Source organism: Homo sapiens, chromosome 12 (assembly GCF_000001405.40).
Source record: "Homo sapiens chromosome 12, GRCh38.p14 Primary Assembly".
In the NCBI taxonomy this organism is placed as follows: domain Eukaryota; kingdom Metazoa; phylum Chordata; class Mammalia; order Primates; family Hominidae; genus Homo; species Homo sapiens.
In genome coordinates this window covers 40,236,106-40,257,378 of record NC_000012.12, presented here as the reverse complement: position 1 = coordinate 40,257,378, position 21,273 = coordinate 40,236,106, and the positions used below count along the sequence as shown (strand labels likewise).

Genomic DNA, 21,273 nt, shown 5'->3' with positions numbered 1-21,273 from the left:
CCTTCCTTCAAAAAGATGATTTAGCATTTTACAGCCACTTTCAGCCACTTCAGGAGAATGTATATGCTTCTGCATTAACTCCAAAACATTCAGGTGTATTCCTTTTGATAACAGTATTTTTCTGAAATTAACTGAGATTTTTTAAAATGTTACTTATAGATATGAAAGCATATTTTCATAATTTTACCATAAGCTTTAGAATATTAATATAGTCCAAATTTACAGGAAAGCATATACAAGAGCACACATAATTTATAGTTCATTGACAGCTTAAAGATAATTCATGTTTATTTCTTTAAAACACATGTCATTTCCAATTTTTTTTGCCTTTATTAACCCTTTGTTGGGATTTTGGTTTTAACATTTTTATTCATAGAGTAGATGGTTTTAATGTAATCACCGTGTCTCTGTCCATTGTGAAAAGAGTGTTTTTGCAGGAAAAAAGAAATCTGTTTAAATAATGGTCTCCAAAATAAGAATGAAAGTTAAATTGTATTCCAATACTTAAAACAAGTTCACAAATAACTGCACTTATATAAAGCTAAGACTAACCAGATATGCTAGACACTGGTGGGCTGGGAATGAGTTATAAGCATGTGGAGGTATCGACCATTCACTCAGCTTTTTGGGAGTGTGGGGAATGAAGGGGCTGTAAAAGGCTTGGTTGCTTTCAGCCTTCAGCTGCTTTGTCCATTTATCCCAGTGGACTTTACAAACATTATAATTTCTATATATGCCATCATATACAAATGAATGGAAAGCATTTACATAGAACATAAGTAATTACAGTTATTTTCACAAAGTAATGCCAAAGTCTAGGAAACATATAGATATGCTTTACAACTGGCACTTCACTATTTGTGGAAAGTAACTATATTCCAGCAATAATGATTAAGGAATAATTTTCCTCTTTTTTTGTTGGTGTTTCTTTTTGTGACAGCATCTCTCTCTGTTGCCAAGGCTGGAGTGCAGTAGCATGATCATAGCTCACTGCAGTCTTAACCTCCTGGCCTCAAGTGATCCTCCTGTCTCAGCCTCCAAGTACCAGGGACTACAAGTGTGCCACCATGCCTGGCTAATTTTTGTTAATATTTTGTAGAGAGGGGATCTCACTATGTTGCCCAGCCTGGTCTTGAACTCCTGAGCTCAAGCAATCCTCCTGCCTTGGCCTCCCAAAGTGCTGGGATTACAGGCGTGAGCCACCACAACTGGCCAATTTTCCTCTTTGTAATAAACTTCCTTCACTAAACATAAACCTACTGTCTTCAAGTTTCCACATAAATATCAATTGTCTTGAAGCCGCTATAAAAATATCAGTTCCAACATTACACACTGTGATTCAACACTTTGAAAGTGGCAGAAAAAGAAACATAAAAAGTTTTAACTTAAGTACTGCTTTTAAAATAAGTAGTCTATCTTAAGAAGATAGGACAAAACATGGAAATAAATAGAAATCACATACACATTCTAAAATACTGCCAGAGCCTGAAAAACTCATACCTTTTAAACACATTCAGAATATCACATATTAAGATACAATAAAGAGTTGGTTACTTTGCTTGATCACATCAGAAGTTGTAATAACCTTTCCCAAAGTGGCTAGCTTCTAGCCAAGAAGACACTTTAAAAGACAAAAATGACACTGGGTTAGTGGTTCTCAAACTTTAGTGTGCATCAGAATCACCTGGAGAGCTTGTTAAAACATGGATTGCTGGGTCTCAACTCCAGGGTTTGTGATTGAGAAGGTCTGTATGGGGTCCTTGAATTTACACTGTTTATCAAGTTCCCCCAGCAAATGCTGCTGGTCCAGGAACCACACTTTAAGAATCACTATCCTAGACAGTAACCCAATGTGTGGTTTGAAAATTGCAAGCAATAAACCTAGAAGAAGAAATTTCATCATAAAGTCACGTTAGACTTTATAGAACATTTTACACACTATCGCATTTACCAGCTATCTACGTAATACTCTTGATCTCATCCACTCCATTTTAACAGGAAATTAACTGCTTTCAGAGGCAAAAAACAATATGCGACGCCCTGCAGGTCTTACTCAATAGTCACCTTCTTTCCTGGCTGCCTATTCACAACTTCATCTCCTCTGATGTCTAACATATCATATTCTCCTTCCTTGCTTCATTTTTTATTCTTAACTGCCTCAAATATTACATATTTTAGTTAATCTTATTATCTTCCCTACTACAGTTTAAACTCCATGAGCCTGGGATTTTTACTTAATGAATGCATCCCAAGTGCCTACAGACACTACACACTTGGGAGCTCAATAAATATTAGTTAATTAATTGAATAGGAAAAATGTCACACAAAATGTATGCAACCTTGGGACCTCCATGATTCCAAGGACGCAGTTCTTCTGCCTGCCAATGTAGCCATTTTTTCTAAAAACATAAAGCCATGCTCAGCTCTGCACACCCAAAGACACCCAAGTGTCTTTCAATGAGAAATTGCCCAAGAAAGTTGATGAACGAGCTACTCAAGTTCTTCATGCTTTATTAAGGCAGAACTCCAAAGACAATACAAAAGGATCTGAGGACATTTTACTTGACAGGTGATCAGGAACAAAGAAGTAAGGAACTAGAAAGAGCAGAAAACTGAACAAAGACATCAGGGTGGACTCTGAATGTAACCAGTCCTCAGACACCACAATAGGAAGCAGTCGAAATTTCACAAAGTTATGGTTGTTTGATTTGCATATCAAAGGAGATTTCCAGGTGGTTATGAATGATGTCACCAACACAATGTTGTCTGTACATAGTAAAAGTCTACCTCCACTCTAAAGGTGCCCCAACAGAAGCCACAAAGTCCAGTCCTCATTTTCAGGAGTGAAATCCCTGTCCAGACCTCTTTAACTGCACAGTAGAATAAGAGAGATTCGAGAACAGCGATTCCCTCTCCTTCCCCTTTGACTCATTATCCTTGAGAGCAGCCCCTGTCTGTCTGTCAGTGCCCTGGCCACTCCAAGCGTTTTATTAAAGTGCCATTGGAGAGGTGAGATGAAAAAGGAGGAAGAGGAAGAAGAAATGATTTTCCTCTTTATTTGACTTCAATAATAATATAAAGAAACATGCATGAGGTGGTTGCTTTATTTTTTTTCCACCCTACCCAGTTTCTCTATTAAAAGCTGATGCTTACACTGGTCTCTGTCTCTGACTTTCAGTGTTTTTCTCTATTTTTTGCCCTCTAAAAATGTCCTGCAAAAGCTGCCAAGTCCCAATGCCTTTATGATGAGTTTTCACCTAAGGATTTCTGGCAGTATTCCTGTTTATGGGGGAAGAAATTTGAGCAGCCTGAACCATAATCTTAAAACTCATGTCTTTCTAAAGGGATACAAGCCATTTTTCTCTTCATAATTATACAAAGCTATAAGATTTATAAGAATTACATTAAAGAACGATTTTTTAAAAAAGTATAGTGTGGAAATTTATAATAGACAATTTTACCAGATTTTAAAATGGTGAATAGCTCTCTACCCAGTTGCATTTCTATGAAATTTTCCCAAGAAAATAATAGGAACCATGTATAAAGGAAAACAGAGGAGGAAAGTGATCACTGGTGTTTACTATGGGTTCCAGAAACATCCCACTGGACACAAACTAAAACTTCATCAGTAAGAAATTGGTTCATAAAACAGAATACAGGCAAGCACTGAAAAACTACAAAGCTATTAAAAATTATAATTTGGGCCGGGCACAGTGGTTCATGCCTGTAATCCCAGCACTTGGGAGGCCAAGGCAGATGGATTGCTTGAGCCCAGGAATTCGAGACCAGCCTGGGCAATATGGCAAAACACCATCTCTGCAAAAAATTAGCCAGGTATGGCAGTGCATGCCTGTAGTCCCAGATACTCAGGAAGCTGAGGTGGGAGCATCACCTGAGTCCAAAAGTTTGAGGTTGTAGTGAGCCATGATCATGGTACTGCACTCCAGCCTAGGTGACAGAGTGAGACCATATCTAAAAACAAAAATTAATTTAAAAAATTAAAAATAAAATGATAATGTGAGAATACACATGTATCAACATAAAAAAGAGAATAAATAAAATTTGGTTATAAAAGAGTATAATATGATCCCATTTCTACAAAATACATAAAATTTTGTATATGTCATGTGTGAGTTTACACATAGAAGTCCGGAAAAATATACAACAAATGTTTATTTTATTCTTCATCCTTTTACCTATATATTCATAATCCATATGTCAATACATCTCTACACATAGAGATATCTTTCACAATATATAGCTTTATAAATTATGTAAATTTTTCACAGTATATAGCTTCTATAATTAAAAATACCACAAAAATGTGTTTCCCTTTATTTGAAAACATGGCCCACTGCTTACCATTTTGTTCTAAGAGAGTTGACAATGCATTCGCAGATGCCTGGAAAACTTCCTTTGATGAAGAATGCATCAGCATGGAGAGCATCACTTCCCTATGAGCTGGGAAACTTTCAAAAATTCAAACAAAATGTTAGTAGTAATCTTTTAAATAACTATCTCAAATTCTCACTTGCCATTATCAAATATCTCTAACAACAATTAAGAGCATATAAACAATATTTCATGCCACCTCCACTTACAAGAGTGAATTATAGTTCATTTTTTAAGACTCGAATTAATTAAATCCTAACAAATTAGTATTTTTATGCTTTTTCAAAAGCATATGCAGCAGAGAGAAATAAAAAAGCTCAGCAGATATGTAAAGAGATGCTGAGGAAAAAGGTAAAGTGAGGAGAAGAGAATGGAAACAAGAGAGGAAAAACTGAAAATTGTAAAGAAGCAAGGTAGGTTTTAAAGATGTATAACGTAAATATATTTTCTTTGTTTTAATAATATATTTATTTTAAAGTTATCTTATGGATATTGAAAAATAGGTATCCTATGAACTGAAATTTATAAACTGCGACATGAATCTCCCTTACCCTAATCTCCAAAAGCCTTGCTCAACATGAGATTATTAAGATGCCAATTTAGCATAGTTTTCAAAAGAATTACTGTTTCTTGTCAAAATGAAAATATTTAATTAAGTAGCATCTGTGTTATTAATTCCCTTCTTATCAGCAATAGATAATTAAACAAATAGACGGTCAAGATTTCAGACATAGAATACTACTATTTGTTTCCAAAATAAGTCATTCACTATTTAAAACCCAGAGGATACCCATTGCAAATAGCACAAGTATAATCAATCAGTTGCCATAAAACACAAAGGCTCACGGATATGAAACAAACCTGATATGCACAAAACTCCTTGCTACAGCTTGTATCTTTGGGAGAGAGTGCCGGTCTTATGATGTTTGAATGGCACTCCTATTGAAAGAGTTATCCAGAGATGACAGCTTCAAATAACCCTCTCGAAAGAAGACAGGTCAACTCTGTCACATCAGTTGGGAACTCATCATAGGAAGCTCTCTAACCAAATCTAATTTCTGATATTGACAACCTGCTGGCTAGTCACCATAGAAGAAAAGATCACAGATGGCTCTGCAATTTCTATCACCCAAGATGAATTAATATGGCATTTTAAAACGATCAGCCAGAAAATAGAAAGATTCTTTCTCCATGATTCATGAATTACCAAATGACCCTTGATTCCAAATCTCTCAATAATAACTCTCATTCTACCTTTTCTAACTCCTGAAGGTGATGAGATCAAAATACTACATACCTACTACTATTTTGCAGCAACATCTAAAACTAAATGCCTATATCAAAAATATTTCTAACAATAAAAGTTACGGTTAAGGTATTTTATAGGTATTGATTTAAAATATAACTGAAATTTTCTATCATATAAAATCAAAACTACTAACTGGCCATCTTCATCTCCAATCTTCTCATGTAAACTGTTTTGGTACATAAGGAGATTATTTAGTGCCCAGCATGCGGCCTCCTGGATTAGGGGAGAAAAAAGAAATCTGTCAAAATATAAATGACTGGAAAACATAATTTTGAATAACTCTAATATTTATGAGAGTCCTACCTGCACGTGCTTGTTCTTTCTATGCCACGTTAATGCTTTGTAACAGGCTTCCAGCCAAAACAATTTATCTTCTTCCCCCTCATCATCATTCTCTTGATTCTCATTCTTTTCCTCTAAATCTTGATTTAAGAAAATAGTCTCAGCTTGAAAAAAATTGAAAAATATATAAAAACATTATATATATTATCTACTTAACAGTTTGACCAACTCTAAGTCCATATTTTGAAATATTACCAACAGAATGAGGTGTGCTTTAGGAGAAGCCTTGGTCAATTATAAAGATAATTTTTAATATATTATACGTCTCATAATGCTACCATCCTATCCAGATAAATAATAAAATGAGGAAGAAGGTACCAAAAAAAAAAAAAACCTAATAGACGAGAGGAGGATTATTTGAAAAGATTAGTTCATCACAGCACTATTCACAAGAGCAAAGACATGGAATCAACCCAAATGCCCATCAATGATAGACTAGATAAAGAAAATGTGGTACATATATACCATGGAATACTATGCAGCCATAAAAAGGAATTATCTCATGTCCTTTGCAGGGACACGGATGGAGCTGGAAACCATTATCCTCAGATAACTAACACATGAAGAGAAAACCACACACTGCGTGTTCTCACTTATAAATGGGAGCTGAACAATGAGAACACATGAACACAGGGAGAGGGACAATACACACTGGGGCCTGTTAGGGGATGGGACTGGAGAAGGGAGAGCATTAGGAAAAATAGCTAATGCATGCTGGGCTTAATACCTAGGTGATGGGTTAATAGGTATAGCAAACCACCATGGCACACGTCTACCTATGTGAAAAACCTGCACATCCTGCACGTGTACACCAGAACTTAAAACACAAATAAATTATTTTTTTTGAGATGGAGTTTCATTCTTGTTGCCCAGGCTGGAGTGCAGTGGCACAATCTCAGCTCACTTCAACTCCTACCCTCCAGTTCCAAGCGATACTCCTGCCTCGGCCTCCCGAGCAGCTGGGATTATAGGTGCCCGCCACCATGCCAGACTAATTTTTATATTTTTAGTAGAGATGGGGTTTCACCATGTTGGCCAGGCTGGTCTCGAACTCCTGACCTTGTGATCCACCCGCCTCGGCCTCCCAAAGTTCTGAGATTACAGGCGTGAGCCACCATGCCCAGGCACAAATAAAAATTTTTTTAAAACAGATTAGCTGCTTAATGACAAAGCTAAATCAAGAATGATGTAAAGCAAAACTCTACATTGAGATGTGTATATTTGTCACAACTGTTAGTTTCCTTGAAAGTATCCTCTACTGGAAAATGAGCTACACAGGACAGAAAAGGCATTGAATGCTTCCATCTGTACATATGATTCTCTTGTTACAATGTTCATATTTGATGTCAAATGCCTCTGTAAGAATCCCCTTTTTAGTGAAGTTACTTACTGAGGAGGGCCAAACAGCTGAGCGCTGAGATCTGCAATGCTGCATTCTCTGGGTACTGCTGCACAGCTTTCACCACAAACTCATGGACTTCGTTTAATACCAGGATATTGAAAAAATTACCTAAAAGTTAAGTGAAACATTAGCTGAATTCTCATCCATGGAAGTTAAATTACCTTTAACATATAACACTATTTACATCAATAATTTTGAATGGTGATGAATATTCAATGGCATTAAAACATTTACTTTAATTAAAATAGCTTAATATGATTGAGTAAAGTTTTGAAATTTTATTTTATGCTGTCCTTTAATTATCTTACTTAGACAATGGAAGTGATTGAGCAAAAGTAATGATACTAGTTTGCGTTGTATTAACTGTATGTTCTCTGATTCCCTCTCATGTCATGTCTGTGACACACGGCACGACAATATTCATTGTGTAAAATAACTTAATTTTTCTGTCTTTTAAAGTTGAAACTCTTAAATCCATCTTTTGGAAGACCCAATATTAAATCATTTTACTGAAACACTCTTCTTTCACTTAAAGGAATAGTGCTTAGAAAATTCATTGGCATGTTTACCATTATTTGATCTTGTCTATGATGATCTCAGAAAAAAAAAAAAAAAGGTATTTCACCACCTCCAACCCACCCCAGGAAGAAGTCCCATACCTTTTTATACCCACTCTTCTGAGAATTAATATGATATCCAAGAGTCTAAATCCTTATGAGGAAAAACTTTACCTGATACTGCAGAAATATGTACCTTCTTCTATTTGGCTTATTTGTAACTCACTAACAGTTACCAAGCTTCTTTCTAAAACAAGGAATTGAAACTCCTATTCATCTATAAGTGTAACTAAGTGATCTCTGAGATACAAAGCCAGAAATGGAAAATATCCTGTATCATAAAAAACCTAAAGCCCAAACTAAATATTCATCAACGGCCTCACAATCAAAAGGCAGTTTAAGCAAGTATGGAGCTCCTTTACCAACACCTTCCCATGCTGTTGCCTCTTCCACATTCACCCACCAAGCAAAAATTCTCCACAGCCCTTAGTGATCACTAGTGTTTTCAAGAAGATTTTCTTCTACTTTTACCAGCTTGTCTAAACTTGGGTTGTCCCCATCAGTCTCTTTTCCCTATTATACCCACACCACTGCCAACAGCTGTTCGGTCACTGAATCACTGTGTGACTCAGAAAACAGCAGGAAGACTGGACTTATGTTCAGGTAACTTGTGTGAAAATACGTAGCAAATTATACAAAGCCTTTAAATGCATTAAGCCCATAATTAGATTACATAGTTTGGCAAAACGTTAAATATTTATTTACTTGAGGTTTTAATTTTAACTATGAAGAAAAAGTTAAGAGTTTCATTCAGCTACTTTTGAAACAATAACAGCAACAATAAATTCTCTACCCATTAAATGGAACAAATCATCATCCACTAAGAGATAATCAAGAGAAAAAAGATTCTTTACCTGAAGATCAATTTGATCACTTTTTATTTTCAAAAAAAGTTACAGAATAATACAAAAGTTACATATGACATGACAGTTGCCATGTTTTATTTAATTTTAACAGTATAAAATCAAGCAACTTTAATGTGCTGTTCTAGACAATTTGGCAGTCAAGTAGCATTTCCCTGATCACAAAACAAAACCACTTCTTCTTCTGGCTCATTTCAAGAAATTAAGGTGAATTCACATTTTAATGTAACATGTGCAAGTTGTAACTTGACTGTGGTAAATTGTAAAACATGAAACAGAGAATTGTACAGTAGTGTGCTACTCTGACACCTGGATTTAAGAAATCGACTTTGAATTAGATTAAAACATTATCAGATATCAGCCACTTTGTACAACTACAACCTTCTCATGAAAAATAATGAATAAAGGGTCACCTGATAGAGATAAACTAGTAAATGGATACCATGTTTAGAAGAAATACTTTGTTTAGGGATGAAGAAATTTGGGTTCTCAGCCTGATTTCATCCCTTACTGCTTACATAATCTTGAATAAAACACAAAGATTGATGAACCACAGGACCTCATCTGTAAATGTGGAAATAATAACAATATCCCATCTCCCAAGATAGTTGTACGTATCAAAAAATATATATATTTATATATAAATGTATATATTTATATTTGTATATTTATATACATCTGTGTATAAATATGTATATTTATATATAAATGTATATATTTATATTTGTATATTTATATACATCTGTGTATAAATATGTATATTTATATATAAATGTATATATTTATATTTGTATATTTATATACATCTGTGTATAAATATGTATATTTATATACATCTGTGTATAAATATGTATATTTATATACATCTGTGTATAAATATGTATATTTATATACATCTGTGTATAAATATGTATATTTATATACATTTGTATGTATATTTATATACATGTGTAAATATATATACACATTTATATACAATGTGTATATATTTATATACATATTTTTATATACAGTATATAAGTAGATTCATATATATGAAGTATGTGAGTATATATATACACTTTGGAAGCTATGAAAGAAATGTGAAAATATTAAAACATTATCATCTTACAGTTTTAGTCATATAACAACATTCAATAAATGCTTGTCAAGGAAAGAAATAACAAACTAAAGTTGTGCATGTAAAATAGAATTCAGCTTACAAAAAATTCATTTTAACTGAAACTAGGAAATTTCCTAATGCTAAAATCAATTTCCAAATTACACAGGGGATATAATCATGATACTAGAAGTGAAAATACAAGTTGCTACAATGGAGACATGTCAATTAGTTTTTTCAAATGATTAATGATTTTCCTCAAAATTTGTAACAATGAAAAACTAAATGCCTATTATAATAATCCTAATTTTGTACAAAATATTCCTGGTTATCCTTTTGAGAAAATGTCATCAGAATCAATGTCCAACAGTTAACGATCATTCCTTATTATTCAGCAACCACTCTCACTTTTAAATGCATTGTTGTCCTCACAAAAATATCAAGGAAATTTCCAAGGTGTGTGTTGAGGGGCAGAGGGAGTTCAAAAAGAAGCTGAAACAAGAGCTGTGAGTTGAACGCCAGAGTAGTCTTGTGGGAAAGCATGAATCCTGGCGCTGCATTCAACAAACCAGTTTCAGACTCTCTGCAAGGTAAGGTCTCAACCAGAGTCTCCCATATTAAGCCTGGATCATATCCTAAACTGCTCCCAGGTCAGTCCTGTGCTCTGACTCCTGGCAAACACCTCTGAAAGAGCATCTTTAATTTAAGTCCTCAGGATGCTCAATAAAAGAGAAACTCACAACCATACAAGAAAACAAGGCTCCGCAACTGACAGGCAGTCAGCCTAGAAGCAGTTGGTTTAGACTCCCCAGAACTTTATATATAGTTATCAGATACAAAACACAAAATAGCCATGTATTAATCATTAAATAAATAAAAGGATGTTTTTAACAAAAAAGAAAGGGTAAAAAAGAAAAAACAAGAGGCTGCCAAAACTCACCTGGTATATGTGAAAATAAACAGAGAAGATTTTTTAGAAGTGTTTTTAAAAATCTAATAAATGACCAAGTTAAATTTATCAGGAAGTGCACAGTAGCTTAGTATTAGAAAACCTGTAGATGTATTTCTTCATATTAACATAATGAAAAGGAAAAAAAAGACTTACTACATTTTAAGTATATTTGATAAAATTAAATATTTTAATATTTTTAAGCCCACATTGTAAAAATAAAAGCAAACATTTAAAAGCCCACATTGAAAAAACAAAAGCAAAGAAGAAATAAAATAAAATTTCTTAACAAAATTTTTTTTAAAAGTTTAAACCCTTGTAAGATGCATTATTTTGGATGGGAGAATATTAAAAATATTCTGTTTAAAATCAGGAAAAAGAGCAAGACAAGGATGTCTAGTATCAATGGCTCTATTTAACACTATATTAATAATTCTGACTCATGTAAGAAGACAAGGAAATGAAATAAAGAATATAAGAAGCAGAAAGGAAGAACTCAGACTGTCATTATTTACAAATTATATAATTGCTAGGTAGAGAACTTAAGTGCATTTAGAAACAAATTGTCAGAATTAACGAAGAGTTTAGAAAGGTAGGTTAGTTCAATATACAAAAAATCATTTGCATTTCTTTATGAAAACACAGTTCAAAAATATGATTTAAAAAGAAATACCATTTACAATAATAATAAAAAATAAGATACGTAGCAAAAACTAAGATGTGCAAGACATGTATAGAAGAAATTATAATGTAAAGATGTCAGTTCTTCTTAAAATGATCCACATATTTTGTGCAATTCCAGTCAAAATCTCAACAGTGTTTTCCAAGGAACTGGACAAGTTAATCCTGTAATTTGCATGGAATAGTAAAGGCCCAAGAAAAAAGGCAAGCTGTGCCTAAAAAAGAATGTATGGTGACTTGACCTATTAGCTTTTCAGATATCAGGACTTACAGAACTATTAATTTAAATAGTGTTATATTTAACATCAGATTTAAATCTGATTCAGACAAATCAGATTAATGCAACAGAACGCCAAGGACAGAAACATAAGCATATATGTTTACATATTTATATACCACATGACTGGGAAACAGGTGAACCTCTAATAAATTGTGCTGTGATGGTAACTAGCTCTCCACACTGAAAAAAAGAGGGGGAATTGGGTTCTTTACAAAAACAAACTGCAACAGTTTAACAAACGAGTAAGATTTGGAATAAAATATACAATATATTTATTATCTTAGGGAAAGGACAGATTAAGATTTCTTAAACAAGATACATAAAAAAGAGTAAATCACAAAGGAACTGATTATTAAATTTAACTATATCACAAAAGCCACCATAAAGACGGTGAAAAGACATGCTACAAGTCAAGGGAAGGTATTTTCTTTTTTTTTTTTTTTTCACTCTTGCAAAAAACTGTGTTTATTTTCAGAGATACCTTTGAAACTTCAAATAGACAATGACCCTTGCTCAGTCAACCTGCAGCTACCTCTTCATCTCCTTTTTTTTAAAATTATTATTATACTTTAAGTTTTAGGGTACATGTGTACAATGTTCAGGTTAGTTACATATGTATACATGTGCCATGTTGGTGCGCTGCACCCACTAACTCGTCATCTAGCATTAGGTATATCTCCCAATGCTATCCCTCCCCCCTCCCCCCACCCCACAACAGTCCCCAGAGTGTGATGTTCAAGGGAAGGTATTTTCAATACGTATAACCTACCACCAAAACATTATTATCCAGAATCTATGAATCGGTTTTAAAAAGACAGACTATCCTGTGAACAATATTGATAAATGACAGATTGCATATTTCACAAAGAAGGACATACCAATGGCAAATAAATATTTTTTAAAATATTAACCCTTATTTATATATGGAGAAAATATGTATATCTCTGCACCAAATGTTAACTGTTCTTTTTCAGTTATCTGTTTTAACACAGATAGTAGTAGCATAAAATAAGAAAGAATCCAAATGTCCATGGATAGAAAAATGGAAAAATAAATTGTGGTATTTCCAAATAATAGAATACTACATGCAACCACATGCAAAAATATTTCTGATTCTTATAATCATAGCACTGATATTTGAAAATTGCAGAAGACAACATACAGTATGATTACATTTTGATGAAGCAAAAGCAGGCAAACATTAACAATTTTGCTTAGAGAAACATGAAAATGTAGTAAATCATATTTATAAACAAAAGATTTGTAAACACAAAATTCTGGATAGTGTTAACCTCTATAGAGAAAGCAAGGGCAGGAAGAAGCCCAGGGTAGCTTCCCCCACTGGGAATATACAACATTTAAGTTGGATAGTGAGTTATTTGCATTATGCTTTATATTGTATATGTTATGCATATTTTTGTATGTATCAATTCTTACATAATTATATTTTAAATATAGCCTCAACAATAAAAAAACTCATCTATAGAACTACATCTATAAAAATAAGATTAAGATAATACTTCTTTTACATTCTACACATCTATTTTTGACACTCCTTTTAAAAGTCCATCTAAGCACAGCAGAACAGTTTGGTAATTTACAGTATTTTCTTTTTGTTTTAATTTATTTTTTCTGGGATTTTACAATATTTTCATTCAAAGTATGTCAATATGCTACTTATCCATTATTATGCAACATATATATGTTTTATATGTATATGTATATCATACAGTGTGTGATGACATATTAACTAAGAAACTCACCTAATGTAAGCCTATGGAGCAAACAGCAACTCACTTCTTGAATTCTTTCACTCATAGGGAATGCTTTCATAGCTTCCACCACAATATTATAACACCTGACATTGCCACTCATGAGGACTTCCACATTATTGCCTGAATTTAAAGAGATCATAATTATCAATAAGGTAACCATGTTCTCCTTTCAAATATGCATACAAAGACGTCTTATATAGACTGTAAATAGATGGCAGCATAATGACTGCATTTCCAAATTTAAACATCATGTTCTTTAAGTAGCTGTAAAAAATACTATGCTGTTCATTAATAACATAATGGGGTGTAGGACTAATCTTTGGCATTAAGGAAAATTTACTTTATTCCTGTTTCTTGGCTTAAAGCCTTAAGATCAAAAAAAGGAAAAATTCAGAGTACTTTTAGTACTGAAAATGAAAGGAAAAGTACTGAAAATGAAAGTCTGGAAATGTAATGTATTGGTCATAAGTTTTCAGATAAATAAATTGGAGGGTCTATTTCTTTTTTTTTTTTCCAGACACATCTTTATTGAAAATTGCCACAGAAATAGCTGCTAATTGTGTTGTGATTGACATAGATTCTGCTGTTACAGGTTGTGTGAACTTAGTCACGTTGTTTAATCTTGTTGGTCAGTTTTCTTGTTGGTAAAATAGGGACAATAATGTAACATATTTTAATAGATGTGGTGAATATTATAGAATTTAATATGTAAAGTGCTTAAAGTTTTATCTCCCATATAACTATCATCACAATCTTCATCATTATCACAACCATCATCATCGTCATCCTGGAACTATAGGATAGATAATTTCTGAAGTCCTATTAGATATGGCTCATGTTATATTGCTTACCTTTTTTTTTTTTTGATGTGGAGAAATAGGAACACTTTTACACTGTTGGTGGGACTGTAAACTAGTTCAACCATTGTGGAGGGTCTATTTCTTAACGAGGCTCAACCCCATTGGAGAATGACTTTTGCATTGTTTTTTTTTCCCCAACCAAAAGAAAGAAAATCAAGAATATGTCACCAGATGGAACAGTTAAAATCAGCTATGACCTGTTTCCTCCATTCCAGAAGGGCAACCAATGTACAAGGCAGCAAAATCAAGCTTCCTGAAGGCTCCAAAATAGGTGGAAGAAAAGATGGGAGAACGAAAGAGAGGAGGCATAATATTAAAATATAAGTCTTAGGGACAAACACAGGTAAAACAGAAAGGAAAGAAAGACTCTACCAGAAAAAGCAATTAATCAATAAAGGAAGTGAGGTGTGAACCTACATGGAGAAAACATGTATATCTCTGCATCAAATGTTAACTGTTCTTTTTTTGTTTAAAAAAAGGCTGTTTGCAAAACATTTTAGTATTTGTTTTGGCACAACCAAAACTAATCAACTGTTTTCACAAAAAGTATATTACAATGCTTAAACATAGAAAAAAAATTAACAACGTAAGGAAATGAACTGCTTTGACTCAGAACAATAGACTTAAAGACTGAAAAGCAAATGTTTTTCAGTTAGAATCAGTGTTTTAAAAACTTTTGATTTCTTAATTTTTAGCTGCTACTTTCTTGACTTTTGCATTATGAATCAACACATTTTTACTGGAGTTATGTCCAATGTGGGTGGAAAACAATGGATTCCAAAAACCTCCAGCCCAAAATAAATAAATAAATGAATAAATATAGCCAAGGAAAAAGTATAATGAAAAACATATTCAGTTTGTTGGCAGTGATGTCTCAGAGAAATGTAAAACCATGGCCTTTCTCTATTATTGTTCAGCCCCACCCACTTTCCAGTGTTTAATTTCCTGTGGATAAGAAAACATTGTGATTTTATAAACATCACCAAAAAAAAGCATTCTTTCACAAGGGCATTGGGTTTTACTCTGCCTACACCGAAGGCTCACACCTTCAGATTGACACAGTGATTTCCATATCTGAAACCATAAATGCAATTACATATAGTATACAACACACATATAAAATACATATTGTCTAATAATCCTGTCAGTGATTTTAGAACACTTATTACATACCAGGTACATTGTTTAACTCTAATCCTCAAAACTTCACATGTGTGAGGATGAAAATATCACTAGATAAATGCATATGTATATCCTGTAGAAACCCACACAAGTAATACATAAAATACAAAGTGTTAATGGTCACTTACAAAACAAAACAGAATATGAACCATTAATACAAAACAAAACAGAATATGAACCATTATTTTAGCCTAATAGCAATCATTGGTAGCATACACATCAAATTAATTTCTTCTGATTAATATTTTTGGTGAAAAATGTGGCTAAATTTCAAAGCCTCATTAAAATGCTAATCAAGAGTCACAATAAAATTCAAACTCCTTCATGTGGCTTTTTAGGCCCTTCATGCTCTCCACTCCATGTCTCTGGCCTCATTTACTGCCTCTTATCAAGCTCTCCCTTGCCTCTGTCAATGAAACACAAACGGATAGGATATTTGGGGATGTGCATGCACAGCGGCACACACGCATGCATGCACGCACACTCATAACCCCACACCTTTACTGAGCTACTTTTGTCTTCTTGAAGGCAGTCTGCTCTCTCTTGCTCCAGCATCTTTACATTAACCATGCCCACTGCCTGGGCCACTTTGCCTGCATTCTCACTTCAGGTCACACCTTCATGCACAGGAAGCTCCACTTATTAAATCTTTGCTAAGAGACACTGCCTCACTTCCTATTTGATCTCCTAACTCTAGGTACTTCTGCCATCTGCCATCACTTCTGCCACTGTAATCACCTCTGTACTTATCTGTGTCCCCCATTGTACTACAAGCTCTGAAAAGGTAAGGAACACATCTGTATTTTCCACGATTGTTTCTCCAGCACCAAGCCCACAGCCAACTTCAGTATAATGTCAGTGAATGTAAATTAATTAAATGAATAAATGAATGAATGGGTTGAGCATCCACAAGTTTCTAAATAATAAAAATATTGTTAAAATATACTCAGAATGAGATATATTGTAATTTTTCAGATACAAAAAATAAATAACATTTAAATGCTACTTACAAGGAATCGCTAGGGAATGTAAACAATGCAGCACATGAAGCACAATTTCCTCTTCATCTTTAAAATTTGTTAACGCACTTAACAATATCATATAATCTTTGTTCTCAACAAATTCAGTCAGTTGCTCCTCTGAGACTTAAAAATGAAAGACAAAATACTGAATAAGCTTAAAGATGATATGAAAGTTTAATTATTCAAAAATTACAATATTCATTATAGTTGTGTGAGATACATCAAGTGTAATCTCCTTAAATAAAAAATATATTTCTGTGAAGCAGCCCTTCCTAAGAATGTTATAATGAGAAAACAAGCTACGGAGATTCAAATAATTTTGTTTCGGCCTATGTTAGGTACTCCATGTTTTGAAATGTAAAAGTGCTAGTCAGCAAGCAGTTCTCAGAAAAACAAAATTATTTACAATTTCATTTGGGAAATTCTAGAGAAAACTGACAGTGACTAATAAAGATGGCCAACTGGAACTGGACATATTGCAATATTTAAAAGGGAGGCATTAATGGTAGGCTGCTGAAGGGCAGCTCGGCTAAATGTTTCAGTTCAAGAGTTGTCAACTTGAGCAAATGGCAAGTAATCAGACTTTGAAATACTCTGTCTTAGTGGTTTTCCATCAGACAGCAAAAATATAAATCATTAATTTTCACAATTAAAGTCATTTGATCAAGCCAGTAAGTTCCATTTGGAGTCATTGTTATTGGGCAACAACCTGAAAAACATGTATAAAATTATAGTTTATCTAGCTTGAGAATGGCGCCAGAAATATGTTAGAAAACACAGCACTCTAAGTGATCAACATTCATTTTTTTTAATTTTATGCCAGAGTGTCCCTATAATATAATGTGAAATCAGTTAAGTTTTCCTAACAAGTGAAGAATATCATGGAACTTTCTCACTTTATGGTCTAGTTTCCACAGTACACTTTCAAATTTTGAAAATTAACTTTATAGTCACCCCTGAGTCCTGGAGAACCTGATACTCCTGGAAAAATCAGAAATTTTTCTACTCTACATTTATAGTCATAACCCTCTCAGCACTGATGGTTTTTCTATTGAGCAACATTCTTCTTTGTAACATTCTATGGTCTACCTCCAGTGTCTTAGATGGACTAAACAACGATGGTGATAAAGTGATGCTAGCCCTCCTTCCAGGAAGAAGAATGTGCCCCTAACCTTCCACACAGAAGATTACAGACCCTGCAAGACAATAGAACCTCAAACTTTATCCTAATTGTCATCGAAAGCTTAGTTGCAAGATAGAACATTTATACATGACAGCCTGAAGGAATTCCGTACTCGCTGTAAACTATCTTCTACTTCACGGTGTATGATTATCAAAGAGCTGGGTACCAGGCCCATGCTATTCTGACTTTTGACAGAGTCACTCTCGCTGCAATACACTTTGTATTCCTTGCAAAATGTATGTCCTTTATTGTCTCATCCAGGAAAACCCATGGGAAGATGTTTCTCAGATCTCCCATGAGACCAATTGCTTCTCCTGAATAATAGGTTTACTTTTATCTTAAGGAACTTTGTAACCACTGATATTTACCTCTTTTCTTTGTCAGATAGGAAGCAAACAGACAAATTTCTGGCCCACCCCTTTGTAAATATGCAGGACCTTAGAAACACAGTAAACTTAATCTAGCTTTATATTATTGTCCCTTCACCTATTTTCTCATCCATTTTGTTTACTCTTGTGTATTATAATTATCTATAAGCTGTTTAAAATCCTTCTGGGAGGAGACAGGGAATTCAACAGTTATCAGGTGATCTATCCCATTCTGGGAACTGCAAGAAATTAGACTGGTAAACTGATAACTGACACAGGGCCCACATAAATCATTCTTATCTAAACCCCTAGCACAGTTGGCTCTCATAATGATACAAAAGGGGCTCTTAAAATAATTGCTAATTGAACTGTACTGTCACAAGCTCTGTGTCCTCAGGCAGGATGCTCACTTCACTGCTGTGACCCACTTCCTCCTAAGGTCAATGGAAAGACTAAACAAGGACTCCAACCAACTCTAAAATTACATAATAATCTCAGTTATCAATCTCAGGGCCAGGCTATGAAATGCATATTAGTCTTTTTCCTGAAGGACACTTTGTAAACCTTCAGGCTCTTTATGCAATTTCTATGATTTCTGGTGATGACTCAACATCATAATCCCAGTGTAACCTATGCTTGGCTTCACAGTTTTATTTTTTCTTTCATAGCACCCACACATCCAGTTTTCAAAGTAAACCTTATGCCTTGTTAAGCAATTGAAGAAAGTCTACTCCAGGGGCATGATTTATAACCCACGAATGAAATTCACCCCACCAAAACAAGCAATACTTCTGAATTAACCCCATTCCTCACCCTTGACAGACAACTCCCACTTCTTAATAAATAGTAGGATTTTAGAAACCTTCTTCTTATTATAACTGTGTTCTACTTTTCCCAGTATAAGCCTTTTTTTCTTATATATACTTTAAGGAATTTGACATTTTAAAATACCTCTCTCAAACAGCACATGTAAAGCTTTGCATCCAAGTTTCTGGACTTCATCATTGGCTGGAAATGAGTGCATGGCATCAAAAATTAACATGAAAATATCACTTTCTTCATCCAATATCAGCAAGGTGATTTTACCTATTTTAAAGAGAATAATATGCTCTGAGTAAAGAGCTGCTTTAACATTTAATGTGTTAATTTTTACATGAATTAATTTTTACATGAAGACTGTGAATGGTTTGTAGACCCATGGTTTTCTTGTTTGTTTGTTTGTTTGTTTGTTGATAAACTACTTAACTGCCCTAGATGTTAGACTTATCAAGCTCTAGATCTTTATAAATGAGATAAACTCCCAGTTCACTTTACTATAATTTCATGAGTCTCAATCAGTACTTCTAGCCTAGACAACTTGCCCCAAACATCTGAAATACATTCTTATGCCTCTTAGACAACATCTGAATATTCCACAGTTACCCCAAACCTGGCCTACTCCTGTTCCCTGTCTTCATCAATGATACCATAATCCACTAGCTACCCAAGAGAAACTCCTAAGTCATCTTCCTTCTTCCACCCTCCTTTCTCTTCTCATTCTCTATCCAAGCAACAAATCAATTCATTACCAAGTCCTTTAAGAATATCTCCTACACATCTTGAAGATTCCTTTTGAACAAAACTCCTTTTGAACAAGGCACCTTCATTCCTATTGTGTTTTGCATTCTCATCTAGAATGCAAAAACAGTTGCTTAATTGCTCTACAGTCCCCAATTTCTATCCAACTGGTTTATTGCCTGCATTATATTTCTAAAACACAAATGTGGTCTTGCAAATCCCTTGCTGGAATCTACTAAGATCTTCTCATGATCCTTAGTATGAAAAACAAGACCTTTCACACAACCGACTATAGTACATGTATCTCATCAGCTCCTTTCCTTCCGCACATTGTCTTCACTCCAAATATGCTAAACTCTGCTCCTCACTAAACATTTTTTTTTTGGTATCTCTTCGTACTTGGACTAACTGCATGTCACACTCTTGCCTTTTACTATACCAAACATTTCCTATCATAATCCAAAACTTAACACAAACAGCATCTATTCTGTCAATAAAAATAATAATACTGGAATAGGAGTAGTAGTACTGTATGAGGCTAACTTCAATATATTCCAGTGTTGGTAGATTTTTCATATTAATAAACCCTCATCTTCCTGTCCATCGCCAAATGGAGAATGAATCTCCGTCAAAAAAAAAATACCTCCCAAGGGTGAGGTTAAATTAAATCATGGTTAAAGACTCTTAGTGCATGCCATACAACATGGTCATAAAAAGCTGTAGTGAAATGTTGAGTACCTTCTTGTTTTTCCCTCATACTCTCATCTTCCTCTTTCTCCAGCATGGTCTTTACATCTCTTAGCAGGACTGATGAGGACAATTCAAACCTTCCCAATCACACGTCCAGCCTCTCTCATGCTATCCTCCCAGGCCTCTGCACCCATACTTCTCTCAACCTAAAAAGCCCTCCCCTACATGGAAGGAAACTCCTCCCAGCCCTTCAAGATTAGCTCCCTGTGAGCGGCCTTTCTTCTCGGAACCTTATATAATAGCCAGTGTCCAGCACAGCAATGCCCACAACTGTTGCATCATTTCAAGATTTTTTGTTTTCAGGTCCATTATCTACCAGGCCAAAGTTTTCTCAGGGAAGGAACCTGACATGGAGAATCAGACCCTGTTTCTACCTCTTAGTGGCCAAAGCAACTTCTCTGCACTTCAGTGTTTGTCACTTAGAAAACTGAGATAAAATCCCTATCTCAAGGGGTGTTTTCAGATTCAGGTGTTTAAAAGCACGTGAAGCATTTTACTTGTGAAGCCTGGCATCTAGCAAATACTCAAGAAGTAATACTATGTGTTTTCAAAATGTAACGATTATGGCATACTCCAGAACATATATTATAGAAAATTTATTAAAGATATATAGGGAGAAAGAAGTAATAATGGCAAGGGCAG

At 34.3% G+C, this 21,273-nt stretch overlaps 1 protein-coding gene across 11 annotated transcripts in view; it reads right to left on the bottom strand.

The window, feature by feature from the left end:
- The window catches only part of LRRK2 (leucine rich repeat kinase 2), a 144,289-nt gene that overhangs the window by 111,907 nt on the left and 11,109 nt on the right, over positions 1–21,273 (bottom strand). For 10 of the 11 annotated variants that reach the window (XR_007063041.1, NM_198578.4, XM_005268629.5 and 7 more), the window contains exons 5-12: positions 19,276–19,410; positions 16,762–16,896; positions 13,698–13,829; positions 7,434–7,553; positions 6,005–6,147; positions 5,835–5,914; positions 4,363–4,469; positions 2–131 (exon numbers count right to left, since the gene is read on the bottom strand). Coding sequence is in view for 10 of the 11 variants with exons in the window: in NM_198578.4 (NP_940980.4) it covers positions 2–131; positions 4,363–4,469; positions 5,835–5,914; positions 6,005–6,147; positions 7,434–7,553; positions 13,698–13,829; positions 16,762–16,896; positions 19,276–19,410 (982 nt within the window). In the remaining variant the exon portion in view is untranslated. Of the gene's footprint in view, position 1; positions 132–4,362; positions 4,470–5,253; positions 5,734–5,834; positions 5,915–6,004; positions 6,148–7,433; positions 7,554–13,697; positions 13,830–16,761; positions 16,897–19,275; positions 19,411–21,273 lie in introns of those variants that run through there. The other variant, XM_024448833.2, reaches the window with a different exon arrangement.